General features: G+C 40.8%; 1 protein-coding gene across 2 annotated transcripts in view; it reads right to left on the reverse strand.

Moving 5' to 3' along the window:
• PLD1 (phospholipase D1) overlaps positions 1 to 7507 on the reverse strand; it is a 210080-nt gene extending 202573 nt beyond the window's left edge. For both annotated transcript variants that reach the window (NM_001130081.3, NM_002662.5), the window contains exon 1: positions 7423 to 7507. The gene's annotated coding sequence lies outside the window, so the exon portion shown is untranslated. The remainder of the gene's footprint in view (positions 1 to 7422) is intronic.

The raw sequence follows: 27442 nt of genomic DNA on the forward strand, positions 1-27442 counted from the left end.
AACTTACAAAATACTATTTTGAGTCCCATTCCTCAAGAATCTAAATTTATTACATATGTGATAGAACCTGGAAATTTGTATTTTAAGAAGTTCCCAGGTGATTTTGTTTAGCCAGACTTTGGAACTACTGTGATGGAGAAGGAGGGAAGGCCAGCTCTTCAGGAGGTTGCAGGGAGAATTCTATCTCTACAAAAGGAAGAATCAAGGGTTAAATTGAATGCAGTTGAGACTTGTACCAGACCAGATCATAGGCACAGAGAGATAAGAACATTGCATAACTAAGCGTATTCCTTTCTCCCCAACCACATCCCCAAATTCAGAATCACTGTGACGGTTGACAGAAAAGTGCAGGAGAAATCTCTTTGGTCATAATGAGAAAGAAAGATGGGGTGGAGAAGCTCGGATATACCCCCTGGGCAAAGCCAGTGGTGTGCTGAGAAATGCTTAGCAACCAGGTCCGGGTGGAGGAGAAACCCTAACTGTAGTGTTTGCCAATTTCGATGGTGTAAATATTCCTGGAAGGCCAAGGCAGGAGGATCACTAGGTCAGGAGTTCAAGACCAGCCTGACCAACATGGTGAAAGCCTGTATCTACTAAAAATACAAAATAAGCCTGGCATGGTGGTATGCACCTGTAATCCCAGCTACTTGGGAGGCTGAGGCAGGAGAATCGCTTGGACCTGGGAGGCGGAAGTTGCAGTTAGCTGAGATAGCACCATTGCACTCCTGCCTGGACAACAAGAGTGAAATTCTGTCTCAAAAAAAGAAATTCCTATCATGGCCGCTTCCAAGTTACCAACATGATATCACTAGAACATACAGTTTGGGGAAGACGTGCAATAGTTACAGTATTTTCACCATATAGAAATAATAAACATAAATAGCATAGAGAGCAATAAATTTAGTAAAATAATTAGTAAGTCAGAGGTGTGGGTATTTATTATCTTTTAAAAATAGTTTTAACATCACAGTGATGTTAGTGCCAAAAATATACTTCATCCCCAAATTCTGTACTCCTACCTTACCTCTTACCTCTTTTTATTCCAAAGCAGGAATAATGGTGACATTTAAAAAACAATATCTAAAACATCATCTTCATTTTTTTTTCCTATTCTTAGCCCCTTTGGTTAAATTTCTCACTTTTGGGTCTGTATCTTCAGAGGACCACTGCCCTACACATCTGGAAATGTTTTTCTGCTCCAAGTCATAAATCTCCAATCCCAACCCATGGCTACCTACTCAAACTCTTTATTTCAAAGGACTCCTTCATCAGAAATTGGGCAGAAAAAGATCAATGAAGTGAGTACAGCTGTTTACCCAAAATGCCACAGACTGTCCATTCTACATCTACACATTTTATTTTTAAGAATAGTTAAATGGCACCATAGAGCAAATAAATAAGTAAAACGTTAATTATAAAGACTTATTTTCTGGAAATACCTATGTATTTTGAATAAAATGGATTACACCTTCTCCCTTCATCCATGTACCCTTTCATTCAGTTCACATCTATTGTACACTACAATGGACACTGGAGACACAAAAATGACAAAAACACAGTCTGTGACCTCAAGGACCTTGCCCTCTCACACGGAAGACAGACAATAGAAAAAATAATGGCAAATCCAGTGATTCTAATATCACACTACATATAAAATCCACCCATGGAAAGTGGCATAAACCAAACTAGACTAGACTGTTATGAAGATCCCAATCAGGGGCTAAGAGTTCCCTTGTATCTTATTGTCCACATGCTTTGTTGATTAGCAACAGTTTAAACATTAAGATCCCATCAAGATAAACCAAAGGAAAGATCATCTCCAACTGCTTATGAGATTTTGAAGGCATCATCCAGTGGTAACACACTGAGATGCAAGGCTTTTTGTAAAGAATTGACAAAGGTATTAGCTCCCTGCTTCCTATCTGTGGCCCTCTGCCAATGCCTCGTCTCTGCATTTGTTTCTCCCCTCCCTTTCTACGGCTTTCCTTTTCCCCATGTTTATTCCTATTCTCCTTCATCTAAATGTGCCATCTGTAAAAGCCTACTTTGAAAAAGATCACTGTTAAATTCTGAACCCTTATTTTCCTGTTCTTAATATAAAGTTCATAAGTTTATGGCCTCAGAAGTCTCTCTCTCTCTTTCTTAACAAAAGAACTGACTAAACTAAGTTATTTTTATTTCCATGTTGCTTTTGGCTGGTTTTCTTTTGTGCGTCAGAGGCTTCCAAAAGGTTCCCAACTCTAGATCCAAAAAGTTCAAAAAATGATTGAGTACAGAATAAAATATTGCCCTCATCCAGAGGGGAGCTGAGGGTCACGGGCATTAGGAGCAACGGGGGAAGCAATCCAGGATTCTGGAGCCCTAGGAAGCAAGACCTGCCATGACCCAGTCGGCCATAATGTGGGCCCTTATTTAGCAGATTAGCTCTAGTATGGTCATAACAATTATTAAAATATTGAAATGCTTCCCTCTGGAAATATTGCACATAACACCCAACCCCTTCCAAATACACCTGGCCTCCCAGACTCTCCCAGGATCCCTGGCCCAATCTCCTCACAATCAGGAGTTAAGGCCTGGCCCAGCAGAGGATCTCCAGGACCCTGCCCCAGTGCTTCTACCCTTTGACATACCCATGCTCCACCTTAATTTCGTTTTCCGAAAAATAAAGGACTTGAACAGATTGTCTGAGTTGCACTATAATTGCAATTATGTCAAAGAACAAGGACGAAATGGAAATAAAAAAACCTAAAAAAAAGTTTGTTAAGAGGATGGAATCACAGGTTATGTTTTTTTCTAGACAGACAGCAGTGTCAAAACTCTGGGTGCAAGCTGCCTGGGATGGATCCCCAGCTCTACCATGTGCTAGTTGTGGGATCTCACTATGCCTCAAACTGCCTCATCTATAAAATGGGCATAGGCCAGGCTCAGTGGCTCATGCCTGTGAATCCCAGCACGTTTGGAAGCCAAGGTAGGAGGACCACTTGAACCCAGAAGTCTGAAACTAGCCTGGGTGACATAGCAAGACCTCATCTCTACAAAATAAAATACAGTAAAACAAACATAAATAAATAAATTAAACGGCCATAATAAGATTACCTACTTTACAGGGTTGTTCTGAGGGTTAAATGTATTCATGTTTGTAAAATGCTTAGATGAGTGCAAGGCACAAAGTAAACACCACGTAAGTGTTTATTAAATAAATAATTCATTTTATTCTGTCGTTGTAATGTTTGCTCAATAAATTTAAAAATTAAGAAAGTTTCACAACAGAAAAAAAACACTGTGACACTATGAAACACTTACGTAACATACACTTTTGCTTAATAACCCAGCACTAAAACAGCTGGGGTCCAGATTTTACACTGCACTGTGAATTTAGGGAAACTAACACACTGGAATGTGTTCCCACTGAAGCATAAGATGCGATTTGTATGATTCTCTTTGTAATCAGAAATGTCACAGGCTTATGGGAAAGTTAGGTTTACATGTTTCTCATTTTAACCCTGCAACAACTTTTAGCCACACCCTAGCAAATACATTTTATTTTGTGGTGCTAAGACTTAAAGGATTGTAAACACAAAACCAGACCTTGCAGAGCTACAGCTTTTCTTGTGAACACAATGACTCAGCCTAACTACAAGTTTAAAGAGACATATCTTATGTGTTGGGTCCCCTAGTATCAATCTTTAGTAAACATCTGGGATGGACAGGAAATTGCTACACACTGCTTTTAGTTACTAAAAAGGCAACACTACCTGAGCTCAAGCATAGTTTAGATAGGTACTATTTGCACTGCTATAGAGGACAACACTGACAATTGTTATTTTTCTGATAGATACTCAGGAGAGGAAATGATCAATAACAATAATTCCCTTACGTGTTCCTTCCTCTTGACAGCTAAACCCCACAATACCCTTAGACACAAGTTTAAATACATCACAAGCTTATCCTCAAACAGTAATGTATTAGGTCTTTCCTGCTGTAGATAAGATTTGTTAAACAGTCTGGCTATGGCTTTTTACCTTTTCTCTTTTAAAAGTGCATTTCTCAGCTGGGTATGGTAGCTCATGCCTGTAATCCAGCACTTTGGGAAGCCGAAGTAGGAGGATTGCGGGAGCCCAGCTGTTCAAGACCAGCCCTAGCAACACAGTGAGACGCCATCTTTATAAAAATACAAACAAAACTGGCCAAGGATGGTGATGCGCACCTCTAGTTCCAGCTACTCAGAAACTGAGATGGGAGTATCACTTGAGCCTAGGAGGTCAAGGCTGTTGTGCCACTACACTCCAACCTGGGCAACAGAGTGAGACCCTGTCTCAAAAAAAAAAGTTTAAAAGGTGCATTTCTCTAAAGCTACGAGAAGGAACTCAAACCTTGCTTAGTGATAAAACTAAAGCCTGCAACACAACCATTATCATTAAAATGTTATTAAAACCCTGTAAGAAAGATGAAGAGTCTTGTGGATGGATGGTGGTGACGGTAGCACAACGATGTGAATGTATTTAATGCCACTACATGTACACTTAAAAATGGCTACAATGGTAAATTTTATGTTGTACATATTTTACCACAACAAAAGTGAAATTATAAGAGAAAAAAAATTTTTTAAAAAAACATCCTGTAAGAGAACATTTATACACTGTCGGTTGGAACGTAAATTAGTTCAGTCACTGTGGAAAGCAGTTGCAGATTTCTCAAAGAACTCAAAACGGAACTACCATTCAACCCAGCAGCCCCATTACTGGGTATATATCCAAAAGAAAATAAGTTGTTCTACCAAAAACACACACAAATTCATATGTTCACCACAGCACTAGTCACAATAGCAAAGACATGGAGTCAGCCTAGATGCCCATCAACTATGGACCGGATAAGAGAAAATGTGGTCCATATGCATCATAGAATACCATGCAGCCATAAAAAGTAACACAATCGTGTCCTTTGTAGAAACATGGATGCGGATGGAGGTCATTATCCTAAGCAAATTAATGCAGGAACAGAAAATCAAACATTGCATGTTTTCACTAATAAGTGGAAGGTAAACATTGGGTACTTATGGATATAGAGACGGCAACAATAGACACTGGGAACTACTAGACGTGGGAGGGAGGAAGGAGAGCAAAAGTTAAAAAATTATCAGGTACTATGCTCACCACCTGGGTGACGGGACCAGTTGTACCCCCAACCTCAGCTGCATGCTGTATGTCCATGTAACAAACCTGCACATGTACCCCCTGTATCTAAAATAAAATTTCAAATTATTAAAAAAAAAAAATAGGGTCGGGTGCAGTGGCTCACGCCTGTAATCCCAGCACTTTGGGAGGCCGAGGCGGGCGGATCACGAGGTCAGGAAATCGAGACCATCCTGGCTAACACGGTGAAACCCCGTCTCTACTAAAAATACAAAAAATCAACCGGGCGTGGCAGCAGGCGCCTGTTTTCCCAGCTACTCAGGAGGCTGAGGCAGGAGAATGGCGTGAACCCGGGAGGTGGAGCTTGCAGTGAGCCGAGATCGCGCCACTGCACTCCAGCCTGGGCGACAGAGCGAGACTCCGTCTCAAAAAATAATAATAATAATAATAATGACAGTCCTACTTTTCCTTTGTAACAAAAATAAAAGTTACCTATAAGAGTTAAAGGTAAATAAAATTTGTAATTTTAATTAAGAAACACTAAGTAAACATACAACTTCCAAGAAGCCGGGTTCCCCACTACCTGGTTATAAGTAAGTCTACAAACCTAAATGAGCATTGTACAGCGCTTACTATAGTTCATAATTATTCTGTCATCAGGGACAAACATTGTAAAGACACTTTTTCCTCAAAGCCTTAGCATTCAATTTTTTTTTTTTTTTTTTTTTTTTTTTGAGACAGATTCTTGCCCTGTCGCCCAGGCTGGCGTGCAATGGCTCCATCTCGGCTCACTGCAACCTCCGCCTCCCGGGTTCAAGCGATTCTCCTGCCTCAGCCTCCCGAGTGGCTGGGATTACAGGCGTGTGCCACCACGCCTGGCTAATTTTTGTATTTTTAGTAGAGGCGGGGTTTCACCATGTTGGCCAGGCTGGTCTCAAACTCCTGACCTCAGGTGATCTGCCCGCCTCAGCCTCCCAAAGTGCTGGGATTACAGGCGTGAGTCACCGCGCCCAGGCAGCACTCCAACTTTTTATATGGATTGTTAACTGTACTGGTTCTTGAGAAGCCAGACTGAGCGCTTATACAATTAGTCCAAAGATCCCCAAACAACATTTAAAGGCTGTCTACAAATTCAAGCTAAAAGACTGTGTACAAATTCATTTGTGTGTCACAAAACATTTAATACTGAAAGAGATTCTTATTCAAATAGGCAGTGTGTAAATGTGGGGTCTGTTAACAGTTCAAATTGCAGATTCCTTTCCTTCTTTAAGTTTTCATTGCACCACCACGAACTAAACCATTTAACATACCTCAGAGGTCTCTGGGTACCTAGTCTCTCAGAGGCCTTTGGAGGCCCACGAAGGCTTATCTTAACTAAAATTGGCAGGGCTGGCTGATAAAGTTAACGGAACTCCCCATTTTGGAGGCAGACTTAGTAATGGTCAAACGAAGAAACTGTTGTGGTCTGTTCTTAAAAAGCTACTAGTATTTAGTGCTTCACAGAGGAAGTAAAGAAAGCAATAATCCGAGATGAGGAGGAGCAAATACAGGCGTGGCGGTAGTTCAGGACTGAGTCTACAAGGGCGGTTCTCAAGGGCGTCACAAAATCCTATGGAAGGCTTGGAGGACGGCACTCCTGGATCTGAGCCCTACGTCCCAAACACCTTCAATCGTATTGTGAGGAAGAAGACCTTTTACACACTCCCTGCTGCTGGCCCCCGGCCCCCTCGCCCCACCTCCGAGTGGTCACATCACACGGCGGGAGCCGCGGTCAGCAGCTGTGATCACACCCCCAGGACCGTGCTCTGCGGGCTGGGCTCGAAGCCTTGGGACGCGGCACTTCCTGGTTGGTACGGGATGCCGGTCCCATCGCCCCCACCAGCCCAGTCATGCCACCGCGCACCCGAACCAAGGGCGCCCGGATGACCTGGGGACACCACACACACTGCACCCGAAGCCCTGTGGCGGCGAGGCGGTGCATCCTGCAGAGGACGCCTGGGCTTCAGCCTGAGCCTGCGCGGCTCTGCGCTCCAGGCAGCCGCCCGCGCGGCAAAAGTGCGTGCCAGAGTTGTCAGCTTTCACCCTGCAGGAATTCCACCCGAAGGCGTGCGAGGGAGGCCCTTGGGGATCGCTAGGGAGTCCGCCGCCGACTCACTCGCTGAAATCCCGTCCAAGTTGGGCGGGGAGCGGCCAGCTGCCCAGGTTGGGCGGAGGAGGGACGGAGGGCGAGGGCAGTGGAAACCCGGCTCCCACGGGCGCCCGGTGATCCGGGTCTCGGCGCGGCTCCTACCTGCAGGGCGAAGGGGCCGCTAGCACCTGCGCGTTGGCGGCGGACTCTCAGGGCTCGGGTGCCTCTGGCACAGCTGGAGCTCAGCGGGAGGGAGGGAGAGAGGGCGGGCCGGAGGGGGCTCTGCGCTGCGCGGCCGGCAGGAACTCTCCGCCCGGATTCGCCCCGGATTCGCAGGGGTGGAGCGAGGCGGTGCCAGGTCCCGGGGCGTCGCGGTGCCGGCTGGAGGCCCCAGCGGGGCAGGTCTCGCGACTGGGCCTCTGATCGCCCGCGTTCCTTGTTCTCTTTTCCCAAAGTTTCATAACTCGACCGCATCACCCTAGGGAATGCTCGCTATTAGGACCATTATCAGGTCCTCTCGAGCCGCCAAGGACCAGCCACCTTTCCCGGAGCTTTGCCTATGATATCTATTCTTCGACTACTGCGGATAGTAGCCACAACTGGTCCAACTTATAAGTAAGGAATCAGCAAATCAAACGGCTAAATAACTTGCCTGAGGTGACATAATTAAGAGACTGGAGCTTTGCTGGAGTCTTTATAAGCCTTCTTGCACCTCCTTAGGGAAGTGTTATCGCCAATTTACAGGTAAGGAAATGAAGGCTCAGAACCAGCCCGAGGTCACACAGCTTAGATGGAGGGGGACGGGAATTTGTGTCCCGATGTCTCTAAAACTGGTTATAATTCAGAAATCTTAGCATAAAATAATAAATTGGGAGCAAAACAGGGAAAAGACCCATTCCACCTATGGAACCGTTCAAACACGGCAATTTTGCTGTTTTCAGTCCACTTAGAATAAAGTCTTAAGAAAAAGAGAACCAGTTGTCATGTGGCTTGAATAGCAGCCCTTTGGGAATGTAATTTTGAATATAGGCCAGTTCCAACCTCATTACACGATATTGCATCCCGCCAAAGCCAGGGGAAGCAATGGCCTCCCCATGCACCAAACTGCTAATAACGTCAGCCACTTTAAAGCATTTAGTGGATATTACACAACTGCGACTGACCAAGTTACATAATGTCTTACTGCACACATGGCATTGCATGAAATGAAAAATATAATATACCAGTCCAAATTAGGGGAGGGGGGCCAAATTATAGTCTGGAACTCAGTTTTCCTGTAACCTACAGTTGCTCAGCCCTCCTTAGACCACATTTTTGTCTCTTGAGCACATCTTTTCCTAATGATAGAAGAGTCACACAGCCCTCACTCTTTCCTTGTTGACATAAATGATTGATGTCTTTTGAATCCTATGATACTGACAGATTTTTACAATTAAACACATGACTCTCTGAGCAGAGTATTGCCTAAGAGGAGTTTAGTAAGTTTCAGACAAGCATGTTACTGGAAGGCAGAATACCCTCTCTCCTCCCCTCTTTCTCAAGCTTTATTAGTCACAGATGGTCTGATAAGTCTTGTGCACACACGTAACTGCATTCTTACAAGCTTGTCTTTAGAAATTATAATGCTTTTGGTTGAGAAGCAGCAGTCTATAAAATTGCATCCCAAATTCTTAAGTGTCACTATGAAAACATTTGGCACTTGCCTCCAACAATAGGTCTTTCTACTAAATCTAATTAGAAATAAAATTATCAAGGCCAAGCGCAGTGGCTCACACCTGTAATCCCAACACTTTGGGAGGCCGAAGCGCGTTGATTACCTGAGGTCAGGAGCTCAAGACCAGTCTGGGCCACATGGCGAAACCCCGGCTCTACTAAAAATACAAAAATTAGCCGGAGGTGGAGGCAGGTTCCTGTAATCGAAGCTATTCGGGAGGCTGAGGCAGGAGGATTATTTGAACCTGGGAGGAGGAGGTTGCTGTGAGTTGAGATTGCACCACTGCATTCCAGCCTGGTGACACAGCAAGACTCTGTCTCAAAAAAAAAAAAGAAAGAAAGAAAGAAAGAAAATTATCTAAGTGCCCTTACAATAACTGAATTTCTGCCTCCCTGGGATAGAGGAATAAAATAGGAAATGCCATATGTTGTTTAGAGATGAACTGAAGCTTATGGACTCCCAAACATGAATTTTAGAAGTAGTATGATTTTGTATGTAATTATTTTATTTTCCTGAGAGATTTTGTGATTTTTCTTTCCAACTCTTTCATATCTTCAAAGATGTCAAGAAACAGTGACTAAGTAATCATGCTATACATTCATCTCAATATGCACTTGACATTTTTGTCAAAGTGGTATTTGAAATCCTTTTAATTGTTCTATTTTCTTCTGAGAATAAAAACATATATGTTCATTTTTATAATTTTAACATCTATATTTTAGAAAAAAAATTTTACATCTATGTTTTAGAGACCACAGAAAAACATTTTTAATTAAAATCACCTATAACTCCCACACACACACTCTCTATTAGCATTTAGTATATTTCCTTATTTTTTCTATGCCCAGAGGTTTGTTATAAAATTAACACCATGCTTTACAGAGTTTAGAATCTTCCTTATCTCACTAAGTATTTATAAATTGACTATTTTTTACTGTTATTAAACTTTCTTTAAGATATCATTTCTGTGGTTGAAGAATATTACAATCATTTATCAAATGTTTTAGGATATTTTCAGACTTTATTGCAGTTTACAAATCATGCTAGAATGAACACTACGTTGCATCATCTTTGTCAAGATCTCTACATCCTTAGGATAGATTCCTAAAAGTAGAAATACTGGATCAGCATTTAGAAACATTTTTAAGGTGCTGTGTGATGCTGCAAAAATACCCTCCAGTATTAAATATTGCCTTGCTTATAACCTGAAAATGTCACGAATCAAAATCATATCTTGTTTTAATCAACTTTTTTATAATCAGTAATGCTGAACACGATTTTTTCATGTTATTATTTGTACCATTTACTGAAAATGATCTATTCATGTCCATTACCTGTTCTTTTTCTATGGTAAATTAGTTTCTTGTTAATTTGCAATAATGCTTTCAACAGAAACAGAACTATTTTATCAAAGTGACATACAAATGGTGCTCCCCCAGATTTTCCCTTGTGGTACATTTGATACAAGCACTGCCATCCAGATCATCTAGTCATTTTGGGATACCAACATCTATCATCTTTTCTGACAGTTCCATTTTCTTATAGAAAATTACCTCTCCCCAAATAGGCATAGGCCTGGCAAGACAGCAATTTCAAGCAGTAACCTCAAAAGTGAAGGTCAGATCCTTCTTCCATATTCCCACCACCATTCCATTTACCCTATAGGCCAGGTGGACTGAATCTCAGGGGATGAGGGAGCCGGTGATCTTTGAGGTTGAGCTTATTGAACAGAGACAGAAGCGGCCCATCAGCAGCTTTACCCTGACCAGTAAAACCTAGGAAACTTTTACTTCCTAGGTTTTGTGGGTCTTTTTTTTAAATCTTTTTGTTGCTTCCTTAGTTCCTGCTGTTCTTCCACTTTGTCTTGATTCTGTGAGGCCCCGGTGCCCTTTTCCTTCAGAGAGCAAGTCTGCATTCATTATTTGTCCCCAATAATCCTCACTGACATAATCTGTATGACTTCTGTGCCCTTCAGTCCACCTGACAGTCTGTGGATTAGCAACTACTCATTTCATTCATTCATTCGCAAACATCTAATTGCTAATGTTAATTAACCAATGCACATGTTTCTCTAGAGACATGGAGTATAGAGCAAGATGTTGTATCCCCAGTTACCTGATGACATAAATCACTTCAACCACCATAACAGTGACTCACTGAAAGATCAGAACAGTGTCATTAGTGAGGCTCAAATTTTTTGTAAAAAAATGACAGTGGTTAACACCAAAAATCTCAAGAGAGAATGAGGAACACAGCAACACAGCAGATATTGCCAAGATGTGCAGAGCATTGTGTTTCTGTATCCTCATTTCAGCTTCCTGTGGCCCATTTGTATGTTTCATCATTTTTTCCAGCAACGGTCGACTTGTGAGCTGCCTAGCATGTGACTATAAAGGTCCCACACTGACGCCTACAGCTCCCCCTGCAATACCAAAGATAAGTCTTCTCAGTCACCCATAGCCAGTCCCTGTGAAGCTTTTTCATGTCCAACAAGCCCAAATGGATCCCACTCCCCCTATCTAATGACTTTTTTGAAATATTTCTGTATTTTCAATGTTTACATAACCTTTTTTTTTATACTTTAAGTTCTAGGGTACATGTGCACAACATGCAGTTTTGTTACATATGCATACATGTGCCGTGTTGGTGTGCTGCACCCATTAACTCATCATTTACATAAGGTATTTCTCCTAATGCTATCCCTCCCCCAGCCCCCCACCCCACGACAAGCTTCGGTGTGTGATATTCCCTGCCCTGGGTCCAAGTGTTCTCATTGTTCAGTTCCCACCTATGAGTGAGAACATGCGGTGTTTGGTTTTCTATCCTTGCGATAGTTTGCTCAGAATGATGGTTTCCAGCTTCATCCATGTCACTACAAAGGACATGAACTCATCCTTTTTTATGGCTGCATAGTATTCCATGATGTATATGTGCCACATTTTCTTAATCCAGTTTACCATTGATGGACATTTGGGTTGGTTCCAAGTCTTTGCTATTGTGAATAGTGCCGCAATAAACATACGTGTGCTTGTGTCTTTATAGTAGCATGATTTATAATCCTTTGGGTATATATCCAGTAATGGGATAATGTTTACATAACTTTTATAATTTTATTTGTTTTCATGGATTTGCACATTTATGCAAACTAGCATGATTAGTAAATAAGCAAACATGCAAAAAGCCATTTAAAAATGAATATTTGTTTGGAATAACACAATTACATGCCAATTGGTTGCTGCAATTATATTAAAGAACTATAAGCGCAATTGAATTCAGTTTCCAAAAAAAAAAAAAAAAATCCATAAACTCCACAAGAAATCTTTGCTCACTCCAATGTCCTGGAGAGTTTCCTCAGTGTTTTCTTTTAGTGGTTTTATAATTTGAAATCTTAGATTTCAGTCTTTAATCCATTTTGTAAATAAAATAAAATAAAATAAAATAAAGGATAATAGTAACTTACAGGTTAAGTCCATAGGGCTACTATGTTTAAAAGGATTACGAAGGGAGCCACATATATGAATAGCTTTTAATGGAAAACCAACTGTAAATGGTATGTGAGAAAAACTATCATTGGATCAAAAAAAAAGTCTTTAACCTATTTTGAGTTGATTTTTGTGTATGATGAGAAATAGGGGTTTAGTTCCATTCTTGCGCGTATGGATATCCAGTTTTTCCAGCACCACTTATTAAAGAGACTGTCTTTTCTCCAGTGGATATTCTTGGCACCTTTGTAAAAAATGAATTCACTGTAGATGTGTGGATTTGTTTCTGGGTTCTCTATTCAGTTCCATTAGTCTGTGTGTCTGTTTTTATGCCAGTACCATGCTGTTTTGGTTACTATGGCTCCATAGTATGATTTGAAGTAAGGTAATGTAATTCCTCCAGTTTCATTCTTTGTGCTTAGGATATCTTTAGCTATTCTGGGTCTTTTGTAGTTCCATATAAATTTTAGTATTGTTTTTTCTAAGCAAATGTTTTCTGTAAAATAAAAGAATAGAAATAGAAAGACTCGTTATAAATGTTGTTTAATGATTGTAAGAATGGTAAAACCTCCCAGGGTGAGAGTCAGTTGGATCCCTGCCTGTGTGCTTTCTAATCACTTAGAACCTCTGGAGAATTATAGAAGTGTTTTCTTGGCAAACATTTGCTGATAGCCAAGGGGTTTGGAAAACATTTTCATCTTCCTGCATCATTCTTCATTTTCCAGTAGAAAGGTCATCCTGTGGACACTCACACTAAACTGTTGCTGGTATCGTTTTTCACACTTGTACAATCTGTTGCCTTAAAGGTGCACTTTTAAACTCATGCCTTAGGCTAGTTTGTAAGGCCAGTCAAGACACCCTTACCCCACACCCCACATAAAGCAAAAGAATTTCTCAGAAACGTCTCAGCTTCAGTGGCCCTCAGGGTGTTCCTGGGAATCAGAACTCCCCTGTAGGAAAAAATATGTGTATGTGGAACAATCTGTTAGTTGACATGCTGACCCTGAATTACAGAACCTCTGCCCAAAAATGGGATTCTTCTATCCTTATAACAACAAAAAATCAGGCAAGAAATTTCAGAATTATAGACCCTTAACATTAAAATACATTGGAAAAGACCCTTGCCAGTCAAGAATACTGCAATTCTTTATTCATCTCCTATTCAGTGCTGGTACTTGCATAACTCCACAAGCTCCAAAACTCCTAGGATCAGATGAATTTATCATATTCAGAATTCTATGGATTTCAGAAACTATATACAATTCATATAGCATATATTATGTAATACCCCTGACGAGGTCTAGGGCTGCACCCCACAGTTAAACACCCTCATATTTCTGCAGCAAAAGATGTGAATAGGCATATCGCATGGAAAAATAGACTGTAAACAGCTTCAGATCAATTCAGATCAGGTTTTGCTGCCAAGTGAGTCACAAATAAAACTTTTGGTTTTCAGAAATTTTGGATTTTAGAATTATGAATAGGTGATCATGGACCTGAATTAAAACAGAATTGAGTAAACTCTGCAGATAAGCAAGAACTCTTTAAGAAGACTTTTCTACCACAACCAATTCATCCAGTGTCTTAGAGATCAATATTTTTTGTCAACTAATCAGAAGCATTGCATTTTTCTATTTTTAACAATTATATGTAACAAATAGATTCAAAACCCACTTGAGAGTCATTGTTGGGAAGACTTTTTAACTGAATTAGAAATGTCTATTTCCAAGCTTTTTAAAGTGAGCAGATATGAGAAGTTTTATAGATGATACGTACTTTCAGAAGTCAATCAGTTAAGAAGGAAGCACTGCAAAAGGCCTGCTTTCAGAATGCCGTCACCATAGCCTCAGTTGCCTTCAAAAGTGGAAACTCTCTAATTTGTTATTAAAGTGACACTTTTATTTTGAAGAGACAAGGCTAATTTCTTTTTAAAATTCTGCTTTACTACCATAGAATTGGCAGATACTTGTTATCATAGAAAAGACAGAATGTAAAGCACTAGTGTTTTTAGAAAATAAGAATAAGAAAATAAATTTGACAACTATGAAACATACTCTGGCATGATATAACCAGTGTTCTCATCCGTGATACAGCATGTTTTCATAATCACTCATCATCTCTGCAGAGAACAGTGAACAGTTTACTACAAATGCCTGTCTTTGATAATATTATCTATATGTGTTAGTCAGGGTTCTCCAGATAAACAGAACCAATAGGATATACAGAGAGATATATAAAATAGGAATTTACATTAGGAATTCGCTTGCACAATTGTGGAGACTGAGAAGTCCCACAGTCCCCACTCTGTAAGCTAGAGGCCCAAGAAAGCTGGTGATACCATTCCAGTCCAAGCTTGAAGGCTGAAGAACCAGGGGGAGCTAATGGGGTATGTCACAGTCCAAGTTCCAAGGCCTGAGAACAAAGAGTGCAGATGTCCTAAGGCAGGAGAAGATGAATGTCCCAGCTCAAAGAGAGTAAATTCATGTTTCCTCAGCCTTTTTGTTCTTTTGGGGAGCTCAATTGATTGTACGATGCTCAACCAAGTTGGCAAGGGTGATCTTCTTTACTCAATCTATGGATTCATATGCTAATCTCTCCCAGAAACACCCTCACTAACATATCCAAAAATAATGTTTTATCAGCTATCTGGGCATCCCCTAGTCCAATCAAGTTGACACATAAAATTAACCATCAACTACATCAACAAAATCTTACAGCAAATTTGTGCACTTCTAGCTTCAACTTCTTTGCTACAAGAACATTTTGGTTTTTTATTAAAAGCAGTGAATAAATTTATTTTTGGAGCTATCTCTGTACCCTTATCCTAGAATTCAAGTTTTATTCCAGTCAAAGCAGCTGTTCCATCAGTGCACTGAGACAGTTTTTTTTCCATAAAACATTGTTTTTATAGTGGAAATCATGTGCACTGGAAATATATTTTTCTTCTTCAATACATCGCTCTTTTTTGCTCAGTTGCTCTCAGCCCTATCAGAACAACACACCTTTTTATTTTTGCATTGTCTTCTTTGTCATCTGGAAATGAAATTAATTCCTAATTTCAAAAATACATAAAATACACTGACAATAAATAAAAGAGAAATAAGAGAAAATAAATTATAACAAAATAGAATGTCTCTTAATATGTAAAATTCTTGAAGAAACCACACTAAAGACATAATAAAGGGGTTAGATGTTTGTACTATCTATGATGAATATACTTAAGAGTATAACAGGGTCCAGGCATGGTGGCTCATGCCTGTAATCCCAGCACTTTGGGAGGCCGAGGAGGGTGGATCACTTGAGGCTAAGAGTTCAAGACCAGCCTGGCCAACATGGTGAAACCCCATCTCTACTAAAAATATAGAAGTTAGCCAGGCATGGTGACGTGCACCTGTAATCCCAGATACTTGGGAGGCTGAGGTGGCAGAATCACTTGAACCCAGGAGGCGGAGGCTGCAGTGAGCCTAGATCACACCACTGCACTCCAGCCTGGGTGACAGATCGAGACCATCTCAAAAAAAAGGAAGTATAAGAATTTTCATCTAATTATTGTCTACATTATTGCTTCTCAAATTTTTATATACATACAAGTCACCTCTGGATCTTGTGAAAATATGGATTCTGATTTCACAGGTCTAGAGTGGGACATTTCTAGCAAGTTCAGAGTGATTCCAATTCTCTGGTCCAAGGACGACATTTTGAATAGAGAGAGTCAACATCATTTCCTTATATGGACATTTGAATGTGACAGTTATAACTGTGGCCTGATAAAATTATTGCTGTCAGTGATATAACTTTCCAAATAGCCTCAAATCAATTCAGGTCTAGTTTTGCTGCCAAGCGACTTACGAACAATCAGTTCATGATTATTAAATAAGCAAGACTTGGTGGTGAGCAACTATCAGCGAAGTTCCAAACAAAGTACATTTTCTCCTCCATTTTACACTAGTTACATTCTCCCAAAATGTTGTGTATATGAGAAGAGTGCGAACAATATATTTAAGGTTTATGTATAAAACAGAGTGAGATGTGGGCTCAGAGAATTAGCAGGTTTTTCAGTTACTTGAATGTCCAGTAAGACCATTGGAAGTTTTGCAGGACAAGAGACAGTTCTTCAATGTATAAGACCATCCCATGCCTACAAGGACTTCTAGCATCCTTGGCCTCTACCCACTAAAATGCCAGTAAGTGCCTCCCAGTCACTGTATTGATCAAAGATGCCTCCCTATTTCCAGAATGTCCCAAGGATGCAGTATGCCTTCTGCTGATTGCCACTACTTGAATAAAACATAGAAATTACTTCTAATATATAATTAAAGCAAAATTTAGCACAAACCAAGACATTATAGAAACATCCATTTTTTCCTCCAGTGCTGTAGCAAGCATCCCACACTGTGTAGTTTGTCCTAACACTTGTTCCTTAAATTCTCTTTTTTTTTTTTTTTTTTTTTTTGAGACGGAGTCTCACTCTGTCACCCAGGCTGGAGTGCAGTGGCTTGATCTCGGCTCACTGCAAGCTCCACCTCCCGGGTTCACGCCATTCTCCTGCCTCAGCCTCCCGAGTAGCTGGGACTACAGGCGCCCGCCACTACGCCCGGCTAATTTTTTGTATTTTTAGTAGAGACGGGGTTTCACCAGGTTAGCCAGGATGGTCTCGATCTCCTGACCTTGTGATCCGCCCGCCTCGGCCTCCCAAAGTGCTGGGATTACAGGCGTGAGCCACCGTGCCCGGCCTCCTTAAATTCTTTTACAACATTTTTTTTATGCATCTTCCAAAGTTTTTTCCTGATGTTTGGTTACCATATTGTTTTTCTTACATTATTTTAATTATCTTTACTTCAGCAAGAAAAACTTAAGGGAGAGTGCCTGTATTCATCCAAATGTTTTATTAACTTAATTTCTTATTTTTTAAAACAAAAGTAAATTAAAATTTAATGCTTTCTACTCTGCAGAGAATTGTGAGACTAGGTTATTTTTGTTTAGTTGTACAGTTTAATATTTGCTCCTAGAAATTCTAATTTTACACATAACATACAGAAATAAATTCTAATTAGAAAGTATCTTCCATAAATTCTATTCACTTGTCTATAATGGAATAATTCCTATAGACTTGCACCTTATGAAAATAGATTGATTTGATATTAATATATAATATATACAGATGAAGAATTTTTTCTTGTAAATTTGTTAACAAATCTAGAACTTAAAAAATAGGCTAATATTTAAGTGAGATGGACTGTCATAATGAATGTTGAAATGCAATTAGGTTCAATAGATGTAAATGAGGAATATACTCATTCATTTTCTTTCATTTTTGTCCTCGGAGTTTTTTTCTCCATGTGATTCAACTGTACACCAATTAGAGCAGATGGATAATAAGCAATGACGATTTGTAGCCTTACACAAATTACATATGTATCACTAAAGTTTTGTATATAAATATTGAAAGCAACAGTGAATGAGTTAAATCTGTTGAAAGAAAGAGAACAGAAAGGCTAAATCTTCAACTCTCTAATTAAGAAACATGAACCAAAGGGAGTGGAGGAGGGTAAAAGGAGAGAAAGATAAAGAAGAAATAACTGTGTTAGGAGTAAGTTATAAATTACCTGGCTCGCTGAAGACTCTGGATAATGTCTGAACTGTGGCCCACAGGGAAGACAGAGTGACAACATTCTCCGCAAAGTCTCACTCTGGTAAAAGGGATGTGTCTAACAAATTCTTGATTTGCCTTGTTCATAACTTCCTTGCAATGAAGAAATCTGCTATTCAGGATTTAATTCTGACGCATAAGGAAGAACTGGTTGGTAAGACAGGAATAAGGAGAATCTTGGCAGAAAGTGTGTATTTTTATCTTAACATTTACAACAGCCTCAAATGGGAACCCTGAGGCTACTTACATGCAAACTCTAAACATTAGAAAAGTAGATTTCACAAAAACATTGAAAGAAATTTTGACATGATTGTGTAGTGAGAGACTCTTCAAAGGAGGTTCTTAGAGTTTCCTGTCCCTCTGAATCACATACAGACGAGGTGGAAAGAGGGACCCAAAAGCAAGGACATATTCAAAGAGTAAGAATTGTTTTAGGAAGATGGAAGCCTGGAATAATGAAAGACTCATGATAAATACTAAGTTCACATTTTAAAACTATTTGATGAAGCTATAGTTGGAGCAAGAAAAAGGAGGAAGAAGAGATGGAACCATTGCTGGGTCAGACCAGGAAAAGAGAACGCAGAATTACTTAATTGTTATGTTAGCATTGTCCCTATCAAAGGGAATAATTTTCATGCTAAACAATAGAGAATAGCCACAAGGGTTAAGTCTAAGATAAGTGAAGAATCAGATAGGAAGAGAACTCTTGGCTTCTTTAAATTCCCTTCTTTAAACACAGATGCTTGATATTCCAGGACACTAAAAACATTGTAGATGCATTTGAAGAACCCATGCTTGGTAATATCTGAGGAGCCATAGAGAATATGAGTCACCAGAAGACTGGAAATCACAATCTGTTGTTCAGGGTTTCAGAAAGAAAGCTTTAGATGTGGCTCTAGATAATACGTACTAATGAACTTTATTCAACCACAATTTATTGAACACCTAACATATGCCAAATGCTGAGCATGATTTTGGTAATACAATGATAAGAAAATTTGGTCCCTAACCCACAAGTAGTTTGCATTCTAGTGGGGGACCAAGATTAAAACATGAAAAGTTACCTTGCTGCATTAGGGGTTAATGCTGCAATGGAAACAGGAAATAGGTGTTGTAGAAGGCAGAAAGGGATGGCTTTTCTGTACTTGGGGAGGTAGGCGGGGCTTAGGTGCAGATAAAAAGACCTTTACTAGCTGATGGAAATGCTAGGAATGAGGATGGGGAGAAGGCAGAAAGAACAAGCTTTAGAAGTAGCATGGCATATCAGTGAACTTCAATTGAATCAAAGCAACATTTGTAAAGGACATGGAGCTTGCGGGTCCAGATTGAGGAAAGCCGTAACCAAGCGGCCTTGTATACATGCTACAGAATATGAGCTTGATCCTTCAAGAGAGCCGTCTTTAATCTGGGTCTATAAAGTCCCTGAAGTTGCATGTATGTATGTGAATACATCTATCCTAATGTCCTGGAGCTCACTACCCTAGATTTACAAAACAGGATCATACCTCATTCCCTAGTTTAAGCTGTCCGTCTCTTGCCTTTACCCTTAATCCCCTAGACTTGAGGCTCTGCTGCTTTTCAGACTACAGCCTCTGGCTTCTTTCACCAACAGTGATTGTCACTCCTTTCTTTACACCCTTTTGCATTGCATCAAATTGCAATTGAACCAGTCCAGCTGGCCACAGAAAAACTTGAGTTATGAGAATGAATGTCTAGAATCAAGTGGGGCTTTAAGCTGGTTGGAGCTGAAGAGATCAAAGAACTATGAGGCTGGGGCATTTAATGGATCATCCACAAGGCCACTGAAGGTACTAAAGATATAGCGAGAGTAGGCATTGTGAGTCAGACTGTAAGCCATGCTCTAAAGCCCATTCTCAAAGTGGAATATTAACCTGGACGTCAATAATTGAAAATGAGAATGGGCAAGATTGTGGTGCAGTCAGGTGGCAAAAACCTCAAAGAAGCAGGGTTTTTTACATAGGGATAGAAGGGTAGTCACTGAGAAACAAGAGTGTGAATTTAGGATTATTCCCACACTGCCTCCAGACCACATGGTATTGTTCCAGTATCCTCATGATGAAGCAGGAGCTCTCAGAGGGGTCCAGGGAACTCACCCATCCAAGGACTAGAGTAGCACTGCTCCAAGTATTGCAGAGCTGGAAGCCCAGTTTGATTTTTGAGATAGCATCAAAGGCAGAACCAAAAGCAAAAGACAGGCAAACAATCAGAACAGCTGATTTAAAGGGGCTAGAGGGAGAGGCAGGATTAAAATATTGGGTCACAGTTTGAAATAACGAATAATGGGCCAGAACAGGCATATAGTGGTGAATAGAAGAATGAGTGGTTGTATTGGGTCTGAAATTTAACATTCCATGAAATGTATTTATTGGTTCCTCTTTCACAGCCGGATTCCCCCTCAAAGCGTCTTAAGAACTACAAGCAGAGACACAAGGCCCCACCACTATTTACGACAAAAACAGAAAAAAGGAGATGAGGGGGGACAAGTAGTTCATTTTGTGTAGTGGCGTTGAGGAACCCTCAAAAAACAAAAAAACAACTTGCACAACTTTCCTAGGTTTACCAACAGATGAGCAGACAGCGGGAAATCTCATGGAGCTTCAAGGTGGAAGCTTGGAAGGCTTAAGGTTTTTAATTCTTTTATTGGACATAGTCTGACATAAAAAGCCCAGGCGAAAGTGCCTGCTGTCAGAGCCTTACTCATCCTGGAGGTGAAAGGTCTTTGTTCTTCATCCATCAGAGGAACCTCCCATCCCACCTTCTTCACACTCTGGGTCCTGCCTTGGCACATAAATTACACTTGGTATCGTACATCTGGGTCCCATTCCAGCCAACTTATTCTTAACATTTTTAGAGAATGCCCTTCGCTGTCCTCATGGGCACTTTACCAAGGTGACTTTCTTTTATATATTGTGCGAATATCTGTAACTTACCCATAAAATAATGTTTCCATAAATTTAACAAATACGTATTGTGCTGCTTTTTTTTCCTTTATAACTTTTGCATGTAAGCAAGCCAAACTCATAAACAGAAAGGTCGCAACATTTTTAAACTGAAGATGAAATCATCTTAAAGTGTTGTTGGCAAAAAGAGGGGTAAGCTTTGATGCGCTGAAGATTGAGGAACTGTGCTATCTCACGATGGCATGCTTCCAGCAGACTGCAGTGAATGGCACAGCATTGCAGGAGCACAAGCCACATGGTATTGTTCTGCAACAGGTTCAGGATGAGAAGCTTGTTTAGAGGACAAAGGAACACAGGCTCCAGAGGCGTATTGGTCGGGGTTCTCCAGGGGGACAGAACTAATACGATATATGTATGTATGACAGGGTATTTATTAGGGAGAATTGGCTCACATGATAACAAGGCAAAGTCACACAACTGGCTGTCTGCAAGCTAGGGAAGAAAGAAGCCAGTAGTAACTCAGTCCAAGTTCGAAAGCCTCAAACCAGGGAAGCCAACAGTGCAGCCTTCAGTCTGTGGCTGAAGGCCCGAGAGCCCCCAGCAAGTCACCGGTGCAAGTCCCCAGAGTCCAAAGGCTGAAGAACCTGGAGTTTGATATCCAAGGGCAGGAGGAGCAGAAGGAAGCATCCAGCATGGGAAAAAGAAGGAAGCCAGAAGACCCAGCAAGCAAGGTCATCCCACCTTTTTCCACCTGCTCTGTTCTAGCCTCTCTGGCAGCCGATTGGATGGTGCCCACCCACATTGAGGGTGGATCTTCCTCTCCTAGTCCACCGGCTGAAATGACAATCTCCTCTGGCAACACCCTCACAGACACACCCAGAAACAATACTTCACCAGCAACCTAGGCATCTTTCAATTCACTCAAGTTGACACCTAATATTAACTACCGCGAGAGGTAAAGCTCCCGCCTAAGTTAGCAAGGGGAGCTGATGAGTAAGAGGGGACAAAATACACAGCACATGCGAGGATGAGTAATTGGTGCATCCGCACTGGGGAGTAGGCTGAGAATAACTGGGAAGTTGGGCACGGTGGGAGTTAATTGGCAGGAATTGTTAATAGCTCTGAGGTGCTGTGCAGAGTTATTTCCATGCAGGGGCAAACTGTGGCTTCTGGTGGTATCAAAGGCCTGTGGGTGCTAGCAGGTTGTAGTGCTCTTTGCCGAGAGTGTTCCTCAACTTCCTTGCTTTTGTTTGCTCATTGTTTGTTTTTAATCCAAGTTCAGGAGAAAGGGGAGGAAGGAACTGGGCAGGAAAGGCAAATATGAAGGTGGAAAGGATTTAGGCAGAGATGCTGAGCTCATTTACATGATAAAGATCTAGGAGAGTGAGGAAAGGAGAGGAAGAAAAATGTACATAGGAATAGGATAGAGGGAAAGTGTTAAAGTGTGGGGCCAAGAGGATCCAGAGTGGTGTCAGGAGAGGGCTTGAGCCCCTTGTTGCTTGGAGTATGAATTGGATCCCACTTTACGGTCATCATGTTATGTAAATTTCAAAACTTATCTTTTCAAATGACGCTTGTGGTCAGTGCACTGTGACTGACTATGATTGTGTAAACTGAGCCGCATAGAGCCCCAGGATTTCTTGGATTTCACAATGTTGTTGGAAAAGTTACTACAGTGGGAATTCCAGATGAAGTCCGGGGAAGGCATGTGTTGTGTGTTGTTGTTTCTTTCAGTGTCATATGGGAATTAGTAAGGCTCTTCAGTGACTTCAGGAAATCTGACCTCTAAAGAGATTATTTTTCAACTTGTTGAAGAAAAGGCTTGCTTGTAATTTGTAGACACATAAAAGAAAACAAACAGAAAAATGAGATGCACAAGCAGCCAGTTTGCAAAAGAAAAAATAAAATGACAAATTAATAAATAAATAAGTAAGTGCCCCACAGGGAGTTTAGAAACATAACAATAAAGCACAATAAAATAACATTTTTTAATGTATTAAATCTAAACACTTTTTTTTCTCTTAATGATAAGACCTTTGTTAGTGAGCACAGAGTGAGGGAAAGCAGGCAGGTGTGTTCGTTGTTGGGAAGAGTTAAACATTTTTCAGGATAATTTGGCAAATACATATCAATACATTCAAACTTTTTTTCTTATCCTTTAGCCTAGAAATTCCAATTGTAGGATTTTTATCCTAAGGTAAAAATTATGGATTTATTTTAAAAATTAAGAATATTAATTCTAATGTGATCTGTAATCACAAAAAATAGAAATGACATAAAAATCTTATAATCATGTTTACCTAAATTATTGTACAACTAAATAGTAAAATACTATAAAGTTATTAAAATAATGTTTTTGAATGATAGTTACTAATGTGAAAAAAGTAACCAAAATTTAAACTTAGATTCTAAAATCAAGATGCAAAACCTGATTGGCCTGGGCCTGAGAATTGCTGTGTAAGACTAAGCAAAGTCTTCCCTTTCAATCATCTTTATGGCCACGGAGTTAGATTGACATAAAAAGCCTTCCGAGGAAAAACATTTCCGCCACATCCACATCTGGGTTCAGGTACGACAGATATGTCCAGCAGACTCATAGGGGACAAGATATATAGGACAGGAGTGGGCTTGCAGAGAAGGACTCTGGGGCCCTTGGGTGATTATATGTCACAGAGTAAATAGGAGACTGGTGAGTTGAGCTGAACTTAGCAACAGTTTCAGGCACAGCAGGGAAAGGATTTCAAATGTTTCATTCCAAGTACTTCAGAGGATTGAGGACAGTAAACACATACCCCGAAGTGGTATTAGAGGTAGACATGTGTTATTTAAGAATGCGGGGCAGGCCGGTAGCAGTGGCTCACGCCTGTAATCCCAGCACTTTGGGAGGCCGAGGCGGGCAGATCACGAGGTCAGGAGATTGAGACCATCCTGGCTAATGTGGTGAAACCTCACCTCTATTAAAAGTACAAAAAATTAGCCGGGCGTGGTGGCAGGTGCCTGTGGTCCCAGCTACTCGGGAGGCTGAGGCAAGAGAATGGTGTGAACCAGGGAGGGAGCTTGCAGTGAGCCGAGGTCGCATCACTGCACTCCAGCCTGGGGCCACAGAGCGAGACTCCATCTCAAAAAAAAAAAAAAAAAAAAAAAAAAGAGAATGCAGGGCAATCAAATTGCTTTCAAGTGGGTATTTCATCTCCATTTTAAATTCACATTTTGCATTTTAATCCGCAGTACTTCCTTAATTATTTTAATATAAAGCTAAAGTTCCTTCTCTTATCCTTACATTAAATGGATGCTCAAAAGATGCTCTGTGGGTGTCCTGGGGCATTGAGTCCCTCTGGCACATCACTGAGCACTGCCAGGATCACAGGCATCTGATTTAAGAAACACATTCTGGTGGATCTGGAAAAGTGTGTGTGTCTGAGGAGTTGTGCGTGCCTGAGGAGTTAAAGCTGTATGGGTATCAAAAGAGCAATCTAACTAGATGCTGGCTGAGCAGGCATTGAGCTGCCAGGCACCAAGTGGGCTGGAGGCATCAAGACAAAGCATTGAGAGAGGTTGATCTTTGTGGGTGCAGCCTTGGCTGGGTGGGTAAGAAGGCATTCAGTAGGTCTCTAGCTTCTGCGGGTGGTGGCAGCACCTCCCTTTGGCAGAGATAAGGCAGCTACTTTGGTAGACCCTCAGATTGACAGAAACTTAGAGACTCCCCAAAATACATACGTTGGAGGGGAGATGGCAGTGATTTTACTTGGGTCTTAAATTCATTTAATGCAGGTAAGGCTTTGTACTAAAGTTGAGTTATCTCTTCCATGATATTATTTGGGGCTATTGAAGAAAGGGCTGTATAAAGTAGGGCAAAGCCTTGGCCACAGAAGGTTATAACGCAAGACAATTTACTGGCCAGTATTGGCTGGTGGCTTCCACTGGACATCAGCAAGACTACCTGGGCAACCGCGTGGCTCCCTGGTGCAGATGACAGGTGGTAGTTGCACTGGCTGAGGCTGTGTTCTCTTTATCTTGATCTGCTCCTGGCCGTGATAACTCTAAGTCTATACCTCAGACTTCCTTGACTTCCTCTGACCTGGTTTCAAGAATAGTCACTCTTACAAATATGTATGCAAACATTTCTGTTTTAGACTTACAGTTTTTGACCTTAAAGTTCCGAGTCTTCTCACCATTTTTTCTGGTTTTGTTGTATTCATATTTTCTCAATGTTTAAGCTGGGGGAAGGGCAGGCGCGGAGTGAACAGCGGAGGGGATTTCATAAGATGTGTGTAAGGCACGACGGTAGGGATGGAGTAGGGAGGAGTGAACATAAAAAACAAGCTGAAAAGAAATGAACCAAAATGCCTACAGTCATAGGAGGTGAGATTCTGTGTGGCTTTTCTTCTTTATGCATTTGTTTTCAAAACATTTCTACAAATAGACACTTATTACTTTTATAAACAGAAAACTATTCATGAATGTTATTATTTTTCTAAGATGAGGAAGAATCACAATGAGCCAGCGAGAATTCTCTAGGAATGAGTTATCATAAACAAACCTAATATGATATTTGGATAGACCTACTGAGCTGGTAAATCAGAATAGTTACACATGGGATTTCTTATTATTTTATTATGTGAAAGCTAAATTGGTTGAATAAGCATATCCAAAAAGTGCTTATTATAATGTGCGAATATTAACGTGGAGCTATGTCTCCAGTAAATTGCCACAGGACTCTGTGCACCTTCATATAATAACGTAGATGGAAATTTTAAAGTTGTGCTTATTAAATTTGCAGATGAAAACTAAGGGAAAATATCAAAATCAAGATTCACAATGATTTAACATGAATTGGAGAGTGGGTTAAAATTACCAAGAATTTAAGCAATAATAGTGTAAAGTTTGACAAATCAACTTCACATAGATGGGATTGGGGAGATGGCTGGTTTAACGAGACTTCATGCAATAAAAGACCTGAGAGCTTCAGCTCACTGCAAGCTCAGTGGTATCTAAGAGCATGACAGCAACGCTGCTGTGATGATAGGCAGTATTAATAAGACTGTCATACCCGGAACAGAGAAGTGATATCTCCCCATTCTCTGACTAGATGACAAGCTTTATCGCTTGTGTGTATGTGCCCTTATTGGCCCAACCACATTGGGTTTGTAGGATGGGGAGGCAGGAGGAGGGTGCTGCCTCATCCCAGAGAATTTTGGACACATTCCCCAGTGCCACAGGGGCAATGCTACGGCTGATGGTGATTTTGGAGTTCATACATAACTCTGGACCCAGTACTTAGATCTGCTAATGAGTAGATAGCTTATGCAATTTCCCTACCTTGTAATTTCCTCCTCTGTGAGAGTATTTGTGAAAAAATATTGCATAAGGACTTTAAAAAAATGGTTAGAGCTAAGTTTTGTTCTGAAGTCTAGGCCAAAATTGGATTTGAGATTGATGGATAGAAGAGGTTTTCTACTTTCATTTGCTAAAACCATGAACTTGGATTTGATCCTGGAAGGAGAAAATGTTTTTTGCAATGATATCTATCAGGAGCTTGCTGGTTGGACTGATTGCTATTGATTGACTGCTTACCAAATGTTTTTAAGATGACCTCTAGATATGCTCTCTGGTTTAGTCATCTCATTATAAAATTTGCAGAGTATTAGCTATGAGTGATTATAATCAAATAGACAATAAATTTCTTACAGTCAGGAAACATATGCCTTTTAGGATTTTCATTTCTAGTCCCTCCCTTCCTCCCTCCCTCCCTTCCTCCCTTCCTTCCTTCCTTCCTTTCTTCCTTTCTTCTTTCTTTCTGCAGTGTCAAATAGTGCTAAGCACAATGTAGTAGATGACTGATTGATAGTGATAGTCCCAATCTTTACATAACTGAGGGCCCCCAGGTCAGGCTAAACTATTGCAAATTCAGACAAGACTAAGGAGGTTCTACAGTCAGCTGTATTTGCATGAAGCTGAGAGTCCACTGGGGAAGAAAAATCCTCCCACAGAAGGAAAGTCAAGGCCAGTAGCTGGGTCCAAAGATAATGGGATAGACCATACTGTGACCATCTGCCAAGGACAAGCAACAGCAGGAATCACTGCAGCAGCTGCAGAAGGCATGGGGCCCAGGGCCACCTGGAGGCAGCTGGAGGAAATGAGTGTGGGAGCCTGTGCTGCCCGAAGAGCAGGCTCCTGAGGGAGACATCTCCTGGAACATTCGAGCTGGGACAGAGTCCCGCGGTCCTGCAGCCAGGGTGAAGTAAAGGAAAATAGTGTGGCCTAGAGCACCAGGGTTCTCGTGTGTTTTAAACTATTTTGAAAAACAGTTAGAAGAGAAAACTGGTGTACATCCTTCAAAGGGCACACTCCCGTATCTTTCCTCATGAGGAAAAGCTGGTAAAAGTAATACCTCCTCTGTGCTTTCAGAGTGTCT

This window comes from Homo sapiens, chromosome 3 (genome assembly GCF_000001405.40).
Source record: "Homo sapiens chromosome 3, GRCh38.p14 Primary Assembly".
In the NCBI taxonomy this organism is placed as follows: Eukaryota; Metazoa; Chordata; class Mammalia; order Primates; family Hominidae; genus Homo; species Homo sapiens.